The 12,563-nt window shown below is 58.5% G+C and overlaps 1 protein-coding gene across 2 annotated transcripts, besides 1 other annotated feature; it reads right to left on the bottom strand.

Annotated features, from left to right (window-relative positions):
• Window positions 928-12,395, bottom strand: MMP11 (matrix metallopeptidase 11). 2 transcript variants are annotated; one of them, NR_133013.2, is made up of 8 exons: window positions 12,266-12,395; window positions 5,876-6,057; window positions 4,742-4,885; window positions 4,529-4,662; window positions 4,144-4,385; window positions 3,835-4,051; window positions 2,761-2,876; window positions 928-1,833 (listed from the first exon to the last, which is right to left on the bottom strand). NR_133013.2 is itself a non-coding variant. In NM_005940.5 (8 exons), exons 1-8 carry the CDS (start codon window positions 12,371-12,373, stop codon window positions 1,700-1,702), a joined length of 1,467 nt encoding a protein of 488 aa, NP_005931.2. In that variant the 5' UTR covers window positions 12,374-12,395; the 3' UTR covers window positions 928-1,699. The 2 variants fall into 2 exon arrangements, 1 of the variants encoding a protein (NP_005931.2); NM_005940.5 differs by having other exon boundaries at window positions 2,761-3,018; window positions 5,828-6,057.
• Window positions 3,599-4,597: an enhancer, noted in NCBI's record as "H3K4me1 hESC enhancer chr22:24122834-24123832 (GRCh37/hg19 assembly coordinates)". NCBI's record gives its function as "activates a minimal SCP1, AML or CMV promoter by ChIP-STARR-seq in naive H9 embryonic stem cells {active_cell/tissue: H9 hESC(naive)}" and the evidence as "EXISTENCE:reporter gene assay evidence [ECO:0000049][PMID:30033119]".

Raw genomic sequence — 12,563 nt, 5'->3', positions numbered from 1 at the left:
GTCTTGCTCTGTCGTCCAGGCTGGAGTGCAGTGGCATGATCTGGGCTCACTGCAAGCACCGCCTCCTGGGTTCACGCCATTCTCCTGCCTCAGCCTTCCGAGTAGCTGGGACTACAGGCGCCCGCCACCACGCCTGGCTAATTTTTTGTATTTTTAGTAGAGACGGGGTTTCATGGTGTTAGCCAGGATGGTCTCGATCTCCCGACCTCGTGATCTGCTGGCCTCAGCCTCCCAAAGTGCTGGGATTACAGGCATGAGCCACTGCACCCAGCCTATTTATTTACTTTATTATTTTTTTAGACGGAATTTTGCTCTTGTCACCCAGGCTGGAGTGCAATGGCACTATCTCAGCTCACTGTAACCTCTGCCTCCACGTTCAAGTGATTCTCCTGCCTCAGCCTCCCAAGTAGCTGGGATTACAGGCATGAGCCACCACACCCAACTAATTTTTGTATATTTAGTAGAGATGGGTTTTCACCATGTTGGCCAGACTGGTCTCAAACTTCTGACCTCAGGTGATCCACACACCTCGGCCTCCCAAAGAACTGGGATTACAGGCACGAGCCACTGCGCCCGTCCGCATCCTTTTTTTAAACATTGTTTTTTCTACCCGAGGTTAGTTGAGCCTACGGATGCAGAAACCACAGCTATGTATGGCAGGCTGGGCTGTGGCATGAGCAGATAAACCACCACTCTGGAGGATGAACAGAGGGGACAAGTAGGAAAGTGGGGAGCCAGTTAAGAAGCCACTGTAGCAAAATGTGATGTAGAAATGGAGCAGAAGGAGCCCTGAGCACTGTGCCCAGCCCCAAGGGCCAGAGGCTTGGGGGTGGTGGACTTCGACCCTGGCTCCCAGGATAGGGCTGGACAGTGGCCAGGCCTCCCCATCCTGGCTGAACATTCACAAAAGGAGACCAAGCAGGCAGGTAGAAAACAACTGTGTTTAATGACAATCCTCAGTTTAAAAAAAAAAAAAGAAGAAGAAGGTTTATACACACTGTACACACATTTACAATGGCTTTGGAGGATAGCAGTGCTGCGAAAAGGGCTTCAGGAGGATCCGGCCTGGGACAGGATTGAGGTATGTTGCAGCCTCCAGGGCCTGGGGTCTCCTGCATGAAGAATACCCCTCCCCATTTGACTGTGAACTTTTTGGCCTGGATTCTGGAGAACAGATTTCCAGGATTGTCAGCCAGAAGGCAGACAGATGCAGGCACCTACCAAGACCTGACCTCAGGAAGTGGCCCTGCCCTACAGCCCAGTTGCTCAGCCAGGGCTGAAGGCCATGGGGCCCCAGCACCCTTGCTTCAGTGCCAGCCCCTGGAAGGAACCTCACAACAGGGATACAGCAAGGACACTCCAGTTCCCCCAGTCCTGCCATGGTGCTACCCTGAGGGACAGGGATGGAGACAGGGCAGCCAGGTTTGCCAGGACCTGCATAGCGGGCCCAAGACTGCCCTTCCTCTTAAGTCATGCCAAAGCCTCCCTGCCCAGTCTGAGACAGTCGCTGGCAGGTGACCACGACCTGCGTGGCCCTCCCGGCAGTTGTCATGGTGGTTGTACCCCACCCCATCCCCCTGAGGAGACATGGGCTCAGTCCCATGCCTGGTGCCCACAGCCACAAAGATGGCCATGGGTCTCTAGCCTGATATTCGTGGCCTGGCAGGGGTCAGCACCCCTGAGGGCATCCAAGCCATGGTCAGAGGAAAGTGTTGGCAGGCTCGGCACAGCCAAAGAAGTCAGGACCCACGAGACGGGGGAAGCCTTCCAGAGCCTTCACCTTCACAGGGTCAAACTTCCAGTAGAGGCGGCCGCGCAGGAAGTAGGCATAGCCTGAGAAGAGAAGGTGGTCAAGCCTGGGCGAGCGGACACTGGGCCCTACTCCTGCCTGTCAGGCTGTGCCCAGGGATGGGCACTAAGGGAGGGCTGAGTGGGAAGCCCTTGGCCACTGCTGAGTTCCTCGAGTCCTGCAGGATCCAGGGCCGGCCTTTCAGAACCTCTCTTCCCTCTAGGGAGCCCTTCTGCCTGCCCCGGAATCTGGGCTGGGCTAATACCCAGCCTGACAGGTACCCAGAGCCTCAGAGGCCTGAGTCCCACCTCTCAGGAAAGCAAGTCCCGTTGCCCCCACCACCCTCCACATCACTCTCTCCTGCATCTATTAAATTAGCCAGGCTATTGACGGGCACCCTGGAGTCCTGGAGCTGGAGGCTACCCTAGGATAGCTCTCCCAGTGGGTCCTGATGTGGGAGAAAGAGCACAGAAGAGGAGCCTAGCAGGGGAGGGAGCACTGGACTGGCTCTAGCCCCCTGTGGTTGTGGGAGGCTGGGTGGGTCAGTGGTTAGGAGCAGGGACCACCAGGGTAGTCCAGGTTAGGGGCCTCATTGCCTGAGCCTCTGTTTGCTCCTCTGGAAACTGGGTTCACAACAGGTGTCACATCAGAGGGCTGTTCTGAGAACTGGATGAGACCAGTAAGGAGCTTAGAGCATTGTTGGCCCTCAGTGTACAGCAGTTTATTGTTCTACTGGCTGTGGCTGAAAAACCAGGGTAAGACCTTGCACTTCTCTGACCCTCAGTTTCCTCATCTGCAATATGGAATGTAGCACTAGCCGGCCACCGAGAGGAGGGCAGATGGCTCTGGACAAAGGACCTGTGATGAAGAGCCAGACTTCCTGTGGCAGGCATGTGGGAGCCCAGCCACCACCAGGTGGGAGAAGCGGCTGCTGTGCCCACCTCCCACCAGCTGCCTCACCCCCAACGCACCATCAGCATCCTGGAAGGCAGCGTCGATCTCAGAGGGCACCCCTCTCCAGTCAGTGGCCCTGCGGGGCACGGGACTGTCTACACGCCGGGTGCTGGGGTGGAAACGCCAGTAGTCCCTGCCTCGGAAGAAGTAGATCTTGTTCTTCTCGGGACCCCAGACCAAGGCAGCATGGACCGGGAACCTCACCAGGCCCAGCTCGGTGAGGGGTGCGGGGCCCAGGACTGGCTTTTCACCGTCGTACACCCAGTACTGAGCACCTGCCGGAGAGGGAAGGCTGCAAGGACCTGCCCAGCCACCACTGCCATGCCCCGCCACTGTGGACCTGCTTGACCCCTACCACAGACTCTCCCAGCCTCAGTTTCCTCATCAGTAAAACATGCAGGCCAATAATGCCTGCTCAGCACCCCACCCGCAGAGGGAAGCGGGAGGCCTGGGATAAGCTGGGGCAGTGAATGCTCTGTAAACTAGTGCACGGGTGAGGTTACTCTCATCAGTAGAGGGCTGCCTGGGCGGCTGCTCCTTCCACTGGCATTTGGCTGTGACAAATGCCTACTGACCACTCCCTGGGCCCCTGCAGGCTGGACTGCCCTGGAACCCACGCAGGTTTCCCATGCTGTGCCTTCATTTGTGAAGTCCCTGGCATCTGCAATGCTCCAGGCTCTCATCTCTGCCAGTTGAGGATGGAAATCCCAGCTCTAGGATGATAGACCTGGATCAATTCCCTGCCCTGCCTCTTCCCAGCTGCACTCACAGTGAGTCACTTCACTGCCTCGGGGCCCCAGAGGCCTCATCTCTAGAACCCCGCCCCATGGGGTGGCTGAGGGTTGAACGCACCAACACGAGGCCCCACCGTGCAATCCCTTCCACGCTGCTCCTATCTCAAGAGCCACCTCCGAGAACCTCCTACCTGTGCCTGAGGAACAAACCACACTCTCTCTCCCTCGGCCCCCAGGCTTTGGGGCAGCTCTCCCTATCCACTGTGTCCCTAAGGATCCATCTGTCTGTTCCTGCCCTTGGCCATAACATTCCTGGCTCTGGGAAGTCTCTCGAGCAGATCCCCAACCCCCACTCACCTTGGAAGAACCAAATGTGGCCCTGGGCATCCTCGAAGGCAGCGTCCACAGGGCTGGGCAGTCCCTGCCAGTGGCGAGAGGCCAATGCTGGGTAGCCGGGCTGCAGCTGGCCCCCACGGAGGCGCCACACAAAGCCCGCTTTGAAGAAAAAGAGCTCGCCTCGGATGGTGGAGACCGCGTCAAAGGAGGCCTCACAGGCATCTGGCGGGGCGTCTGGCTGGGGTGGGAGAGAGGGACACATGCTGAGGGCATATGCTGCAGTCACAGTGGCCAGCAGAGGAGTAGGGGGACTGGCAGGCAGGGCCTCACCTCCAGCGGTGCAATCTCATTGGTGTCTATCCCAGCCTGGGGGCCCAGGGCTGGGGTCCTGGAGGTGACAGTGGGCCAGGGCTGGCCATATAGGTGTTGAACGCCCCTGCAGTCATCTGGGCTGAGACTCAGTGGGTAGCGAAAGGTGTAGAAGGCGGACATCAGGGCCTTGGCTGCTGTTGTGTGCTGCAGCCCCAGCACGTGGCCAAATTCATGGGCTGCCACCTGCAGCAGGTCTGTGCCTGAAAAAGGGAGGTGGCTCAGCAACCCCCGAACCTCCTGCCCAGGACATCCAGCTCCAGACCCCAGCTCAGTGACCTTGGCGAGTCCCCATTCTTTATGATCTTCGGTTGCCCCATCTGGAAAATGGGTCCCCAGCCCATACCCTGGTCATCCCCGATAGTCCAGGTCTCATCATAGTCGAAGTGGACATCCCCTTCTCGGTGAGTCTTGGGGAAGAAGGCATGGGCCAGGATGCCCCCAGGCCCATCAAACGGCAGGTCGTCCCCATGCCAGTACCTACAGATGGGTGGGGGCGGGGTCAGTGGCTGCTGGCAGGCGAGGCTGTTCCCGGAGGGGTCCCAGGCCGCCCATTCACCTGGCGAAGTCGATCATGATGTCAGCACGGCCCTCGTGCACCTCAGTAAAGGTGAGTGGCGTCACATCGCTCCATACCTTTAGGGCCTCTGCCATCGTCTGCCGCACCTGCTCCTGCACCAACTGCCATGGGAACCGAAGGATCCTGGAGGGAGATGGAGGGGCCTGGGCCTCAGGGAAGGGACAGCCCCCGATGGCTGAGGCACCAGGAGTTGCCCCTGGATGCTTGGTGGGTGTGTGAACACTCAGGACACAGGCCAGGTGTACTCTGGGCCTCAGCTTCAGCGCACTGGTCTCCCTGGCCACATGGGCACATGTGTATGTGGTTTGCTCATACTTAGGCAAATACAAGTGTCTGAATTCAGTGGAAAGAACCAGGACCAGGGGTCCCGAGACCCCCATCCTAGACCTGACAGTGCCACTTACTGTGGGGACACCTTGGTTCCTTGAGCCCCTGTTGGTTCCCAGGCCCCCACCTAGGAAATTCTAAAGACCCCAGTCTCAGCTCCAATGCTGTGTGACACCAGCCCATTCTTCAGGCTGGGTCCCCACCCGCAGGATGTGTGAGCCTCAGCTTCCCCATCACCTGCCCAGGGTCCTCCCAGGTCACCCAGTGAGATGCCCACTATTGCCTCTCCCCGCTTACCACTGTCTCCACCTGCTCGAAGCCCAAGTTGTGATGGTAGAGTTGGACAATGACATGGCTGACACCCACCTCAGACTGACACAGAGGATGGGGCTGTGTCTGCCTCATTCACCGTGGAGTCCCAGAGCCTGGTCCTCACAGGTCTCTTGTAAAGGCTGCCTGAGTGACTGAACACCCGTCCGCAGGCATGTGCTGCGACTCTTTGCATGATGACGGAGGCTCTGCCCCTCTGCTGAGGGAGGGTCTCCATATGTGTATGTGTCTAAGTTGGGGTTTCAGGGGGTTTGCCCATAGATGACCTCCCTGGGGTTCAGTGGACACACAGGTCTGTTAGACACGAAGATCTACCCTGGCCTGTGTCTCAAGCAGCAGCTGTGAGGGCAGCTGGCTTACCCACGGACACACAGGTGGCATCCTAGTGTCCTGCTCCCAGGCCCCTACCTGTAGGTGAGGTCCGTCTTCTCCCAGCGCCCGCCAGAAAGCACGAACCTCTTCTGTCGGTTGCGGGCACTCAGCCCATCAGATGGGTCGGGCACGCCACAGCGGGGAGGCCTGAGGCTGCTGGCAGGCCGGGGGGCTTCCTGCGTGGCAGGGGCAGGTGCCGGGCTACTGGGCAGGGCTGCATGCCAGGGCTGTGGCCCCCTCCTCTCGGCATGGAGGTGGTGGGCGTCCTAGGCAGGAGGATGACATGAGGGTCTGGTCAGGCCTAAGGTCCACATGGCCCACAGTTAGAGATGTGGCCTGTCAGCAAACACACGTGCAACCCCAGCCCACTGTGTGGCTGGGCAAATGGAGAGGGAAAGGGCACCGGCACATGGCAGGGCCCTTTGGCATCTGGCTGGCTCTCTGGTTTCTTGGCACCTTGTTCCAAGGCATCAAGCTGTCCCCCACATCGTGGAGGGCCCTGGGCTGCCTGTCACCTACTCCAGCTACTTAGGCCAATGAGGTCTGGGGGTGGGGGCACACTGGGACTGGCTATGAGCCATACACTCCAGGAATGGACCCCAAAAAGCTTCCTCCGAAGGAACACCAGGCAACCTCCTCCTGCTCCCCACAGAAACTTGCTTCCAACTCCCTTTCTTCCTGTGTCCGCTAAGTTCAGACACACCTGGGTCATGCTCCTGTCCCTGTCATGTGAGCAGGATCTGCCCTCTCTCCTGCCCAGGATTTCCCCCACCTCCTCCCCAGTGTGGAGCGGCTGTAGCCCTGCAGTGTGGCCTCAGTCAGTGTAACCTGACTGCTGGGGGTGACACTGACTTGTGGACTGGACAAGGTGAGGTATGTACAGCACCTAGCACAGGCCCAGCACCCGGGAAGGCACCTGGCCACTGAGGCCTGGCTTCTAGCAGAGGTGGTTTTGGTCACACCCCACCAGGGCTAGGAGTACAGTGGGAGCTGATCTGTGATCTGCCTGCCTTCTTCAAGCGGGGAGGGTGGGGACAGTTAATTACCAGGTGCCCAGCCCCACTCGCCAAAGCCCCAGGACCACAGATGGCGATTCAGACCTAAGCTACATCCTGCTACCTGTCTATAAGTCTCCAGGGCAGAAGTTACAGTTCTTGTGCATGAGAAAAGCAGAAGCTCAGAGAGGTTGGAGACCCTGCAAAGTCACCCAGCAAGGGCATGGCAAGGCCAGGCCAGGACTCTGGTGGCTCAGGCCTAAGGCTAAGGCCTGGCTCTGGACACCGCACAGAAGCCAAGTGTCCTTCCTGCACTGAAGGAGAGGGATGGAGCTGTGCTGCTTGCTGAGAGACTCAGCACCTGTCTGGTCTGGGCAACTGCAGCCTCCTCACAGCCATATTTGGGGTAGGAGCTCAGCCACTCAGGCCCCACCTCACCCTCAGCCTTTGGCAGCTCTCCCAGGCTCCATACACCCCAGGGATCTGATCAGCGTCCCAACGCTCCCTGCTCCTGATCCCAGAGCTGAGGCATCAAGAACACCCCACCATGAAGGGGGGCCTTCTGAACACGGAGGCTATGGAACTACTTAGGGCGTGAGGCCCTGAAGCAGCTTCCCCCCATTTCCGAGCTTGCTTATTGCATGGTTACCTGGCACAGCGCAGTCTCACTGGGTTGTGGGTTCTGGCCGATTCTGGGCTTATTGGTTTTTTGTTTTGTTTTTTTGAGATGGAGTCTCACTCTGTTGCCCAGGCTGGAGTGCAGTGGCGCGATCTCGGCTCACTACAACCTCCACCTCCCGGGTTCAAGCAATTCTCTGCCTCAGCCTCCCGAGTAGCTGGGGTTACAGGTGCCTGCCACCACGCCTGGTTAATTTTTTTTTTTTTTTTTTTGAGAGAGAGTCTCGCTCTATCGCCCAGGCTGGAGTGCAGTGGTGTGATCTGGGCTCACTACAACCACCGCCTTCCGGGTTCATGCCATGCTCCTGACTCAGCCTCCTGAGTAGCTGGGACTGCAGGCACTTGCTGCCATGCCCGGCTAATTTTTTTGTATTTTTAGTAGAAACGGGATTTCACCATGTTACCAGGATGGTCTCGATCTCCTGACCTTGTGATCCGCCTGCCTCGGCCTCCCAAAGTGCTGGGATTACAAGCATGCGCCACCGCACCCAGCCTCACGCCTGGCTAATTTTTGTATTTTTAGTAGAGATGAGGTTTATCCATCTTGGCCAGGCTGGTCTTGAACTCCTGACCTCATGATCCACCTGCCTCGGCCTCCCAAAGTACTGGGATTACAGGCGTGAGCCACCGCGCCCGGCCTGGGCTTATTGTTAATAAGTACTTAGCACTGGTTGGCCGGGCCTGGTGGCTCACGCCTGTAATCCCAGCACTTTGGGAGGCCGAGGCAGGCGGATCATGAGGTCAGGAGATCGAGACCATCCTGGCTAACACGGTGAAACCCCGTCTCTACTAAAAATACAAAAAATTAGCCAGGCGTGGTGGCGGGCTCCTGTAGTCCCAGCTATTCGGGAGGCTGAGGCAGGAGAATGGCGTGAACCTGGGAGGCAGAGCTTGCAGTGAGCCGAGATCGTGCCACAGCACTCCAGCCTGGGTGACAGAGCGAGACTCCATCTCAAAAAAAAAAAAAAAAGTACTTAGCACTGGTTGCAGGCTAGGACCTTGGCAACAGCTCCACAGACTTGCTCTTAGCCCCTGATGGAACCTCTCACCAACTCCACCATCATCACCCTCATTTCCAGGATGAGGAAATGGGCCCCAGAGGAGTTAAGCAGCTTGATCAGACAACAGCTGGCAGGCAGCGGACTGTCTGTGCTCACAGCCCACCCAGCTCCCTGCTACCTCTGCTCTGCTCTGCAGGGGTTGAGTTACCCTTCCCCTGAAGGAGGGACCCAGGCTGGCCTCACCTTGGTGAGGTGCAAATTATTCAGCGCCTGCTATTTCCCGGGCATTTTGCAGGCAGGTTCGTTGGGCTTCCAATATCCACCAGGCAGGTGGAGATGCTACATATCCAAGTTCTCCCATGGAGGATGTGGGCTGCCAGAGGGGCCTGCCTCCTCCTCCTCGCCACACTGCCCCCTTGACTTACAGGAGAAACAGATTCCTTTCCCCAGCCTGGCAGGGGTATGAAGACCCTCCCTGGAAAGGGCAGAGCTGTGCTCTCCCCTGGGAGCTCCAAACAACCCAGAGCCCAGCCTGCCAGCCCTGCTATGCCCATGGTCAGAAATCTCTTCTCTCCTCTGCCCTCTAGTGAGTCCTGGTGCAGACAGTCATGGAGGGAGAGCCACGGGCATGCCCCCACCCCTTCCACTGTCCCTTCCTGTCCTTCCCTCATGAGGCACCCAGTCCATGCCCAAACCCCTGGATCATGACAGTCTTAGTGTCACAAAAAGAGCCAGCCACTGAGGTTCAGAAGGCCTAGTTCTATGACATGGAGACTCTAGACAAGTCACCTTCCTCTCTTAGCCTCAACTTTCCTATCTGTCAAATGGGAATGATGCCACAGCAAAGGGCTACATGACATCCTTCTGTAATGCCTGCTGTAGCCTCTGGCACAGAAAAGCACCTCTTACCTGGCCCTGTTCCTTGTCCCTGTAGGCCCTCCCCTCCCACGCTTGGGAATCTGCCCTTGCCAGTCCCTACAGTTCCCATCACCCACCGCCCCTCTAGCTACCCAACAAAATCTTCAGGCTTTAAATGGTAAAACAGAAGTTGCAGCTAGAAGGGAGCTTTCAGGCCTAGAAAAGAGAAGCGCCTTGTGCAGGGTCTCCCACATATCAAGGTCTCTTCTCCCTGTCCCTGTCTTGTTCATTAAATTCTTAGAAACTGAGTGAGCAGGAGATGCTAGAAATGAGGCCTCTAGCTAGTGAGGTTGTTTTTAGAGCCCATTATTTTTTTAGAGCCCATGAGCTCTTGGCCTCAGTTTCCCCATGGCTGGGATAGGACACACATTCTGCCTCACTGTCCTCCCACACTTCATCTTTCCAAGTCCTTTCTGGCCTGGGGCCAGATGCCCTAACTACAAGGCACGGCATGAAGCAGCTTGCTACTTGTGAGACAGGTGGGCTTGGCCTTCCCAGGACTCTCAGGATTCAGTGAGGTGAGGTGGTAGACACAGGCCACCACTGGCCTCATCTACACCCCTGGGGAGCTTGAGGAAGAAGCAGCTCCCCCATTTCCCAGAGGATGAGACAGAGCCCAGAGAGCTCAAGGACTTTGCCCGGGGTCACACAGCAAGTCATGCAAGAGCTGGACCTAGACCTGGGGCTCATGCCTCCCACCTCCAGGGCTTCCCCCTGTCTCCCCAGCTCTTGGCTTTTCTCCAAAACCCACTTTCCCAAGAAGCATTTCTGCTTCCAGTGCATTCCCTCTGTCTTGGCCAGTAGCCTCCCTTGGCCTGCCCTGTGGTGGGTTCTTAGCTCACTCAGCCCCACCCTCTTCTGCCAGACACCAAACCTCAGCTGCAGACACATTCAAGGAATTTCTCAGCTGACCCAGTGTCCTGGCAGAGCTTAGAGACTCGGAGTCAACCCCGCCCTGGGGTCAACTTGCAATCCAGAAAATGGGAGGCACCAGATAGAGGGGAGATAAGGGAGGACCCCAGGGTGCCAGGAAACACTGCGAAAGGCTGGGCTCATTGTGCCCCTTTCTGGGCCTCAGTTTGCAGTTGGTCTAGTGGGTATAATTAATCATAGCTATGCCTTCTGATGTCGGTGGGAGGCAAGACTTCGAGGAGGGCACTTGTTAGGCTATGGAGGAAGACGGGAGCATCACCATGCAGGCTCAGAGAGGTCAAGCAACCTGCCCAACTCACACAGCCAGGTGGCAAGCAGGGATATCTTCTCCCTCAAGCTTCCACCTAATCTTCCTATTCTCACCCCTCTGCTGCTGGCTCCAGGAGGGACGGTAGCTTCGTCCCATCCATCGGACTGCAGGGCTTCCATCAACCCTGAAAGCTGGGAACTGGGCTGGATAAATATTTACAGAGCTCTCCCAGCCTTGCTGAAGGCAGCCGGGGGATAAACACATCAGAGGTGACCCCACATGCTCCCTGCGTGTTTGCAGAGTGACAGACCACAGTCCAGCTCAGACCCCACCCCAAGCTGGCCCCCAGCTCCAGCACTGACCATGCACAAGCGTCAAAGTGGCAGCTACAGGTGACAGTGTTTCTAGTGAGCCTGGCATCACCTCATTGCTCAACAGTGGACACAGCAGTAGGCACCATTGCCCCCTCCCACCTGCACTCCCATTAGAGATGGAGTGGGTGAGATTCTGAGGCATGGCAGGATTCACCCAGGGTCACATGGTTCAAACCCAGATCTCTCCAATTTCCAGACCTGTGGTTCAATGTCTACCCACAGTGATTCCTGACTCTGTCCCAAGTCCTAGGAACCAAGAGGGGCTGGGAAGGAGGCAAGACTCCAGACTGAGATGCCCCCCATTCACTCTACCCCACCCATCCCATCCCTTTCTGCTCCCATAGCCAGCACAGGACAAGGCTGCCCTGAGCAGAGCCAGAGTGGCTGGACAGAGGGTCCCAGCCTGGCCAGGCCTGCCTCCTCACCAGGCCAGTCCTGAGACTCCTGCCTGTCACACCCTCCTGCTCCCTTCCCTGCCCGAGCTGTCTGGATGCCTCCGCTGTGGAGTGGAGTGGCCCAGGCTCTGGCCCCAGGCCCTGTGACTGGTGCCTGGAAGCGCCCCAGGGAAGGGGCAGCTTTTGGGACACATGCAAGCTGTCACACACACTCCATGACAGTCCCTCCTCTCCTCACTCTGCTGTCCTCTCTTACCTGGGCTTTCTTCTCCTCTCCTGAGCACACATTTTCTCCCTTTCCTTTCTCTCCCCGCTTCTTTCTGACAGCCACCTCTCAGTCACACACACACTGCACTCATACTATTTCATACTCATGTTCTCCTGGCTCCAAGCCTCCCAAAACTGCTGCCGGCAGGTGCCCGCGGGGGACATCTCCAGGCTTAGACCCCATTTCCCGCAGCACAGCGCTGCCCTCCCTTCTCCCTTTATCCTTCATCCCACCGCACACCTGGAGGTGTACTAACTGCGGCCACACACCTGCAGGCTGACACCTGCCTGGGATCTGCTCGGCTTTGTCCCTGCGATGAATAGGGGGCCCTGTTACCACTCCCTCTGCTGCTTCCTTCAACGCACACTCCAGCACCCGCGGCTGGAGCGCGAGAGGCAGGTCCCCACGCTGGGAGCAAGCGTGAGTCCAGCGTGGAGTCCCGTCCCACCAGCCCGAACGATGCCGGCGCCGGCTCCCCTTCACACCCCCAGGGACTGCAAGCTCGCTGTCTATCACGCCTAGAGGGAACCAGAAAGCGTTTCGGGTACCGGGCGCTGGAGGCCACCCGGGGCGCCCCCTTCGGTCCGGATCCGCCGCTGGGCCCAGCCCGCGTGCCCGGCGCCCCCTCAGCGAGGAGCGGCCGGCGAGTGGCGGGCACTCACCGGCGGCAGAGCCCGGGCCAGCAGCGGCGGCGGCTGGAGCAGCAGCAGCAGCATCGGGGGCAGGAGGGCGCGCGCGGCCGCGCTGCGGAGCCAGGCGGCCGGAGCCATCCGCCCCGGGGCTGCTGGGCTTGCTGGGCCGCTCCGGGCCGCCGCCCCTTATAGCTTCCGCCCCACCCCCGGCCCGCCTCGGCCCCGCCCCCCGCCGCCTTTTGTTCTGAACTCTCCTAGCAGCCGCGGCCCGGGTGGGGGAGGTGAACGGGGAGGGTACGGCCCAGCGGGGTCGAGGGCCGGAGACAGG

This window comes from Homo sapiens, chromosome 22, assembly GCF_000001405.40.
Source record: "Homo sapiens chromosome 22, GRCh38.p14 Primary Assembly".
In the NCBI taxonomy this organism is placed as follows: Eukaryota; Metazoa; Chordata; class Mammalia; order Primates; family Hominidae; genus Homo; species Homo sapiens.
The sequence above is the reverse complement of the archived record's forward strand: the minus strand, read 5'-3'. Positions and strand labels throughout refer to the sequence as shown.

Bases quoted from the DNA above. Each gene is read 5' to 3' on its own strand.
- MMP11 (NM_005940.5), bottom strand. From the start codon at position 12,373: ATGGCTCCGGCCGCCTGGCTCCGCAGCGCGGCCGCGCGCGCCCTCCTG. The intron at 4,052-4,143 runs GTGAGGCCCTGC...CTCCCACCCCAG, and splicing joins ATGAGATTGCACCGCTGGAG to CCAGACGCCCCGCCAGATGC. The intron at 3,019-3,834 runs GTGAGTGGGGGT...CCTCTCCGGCAG, and splicing joins CCACATTTGGTTCTTCCAAG to GTGCTCAGTACTGGGTGTAC.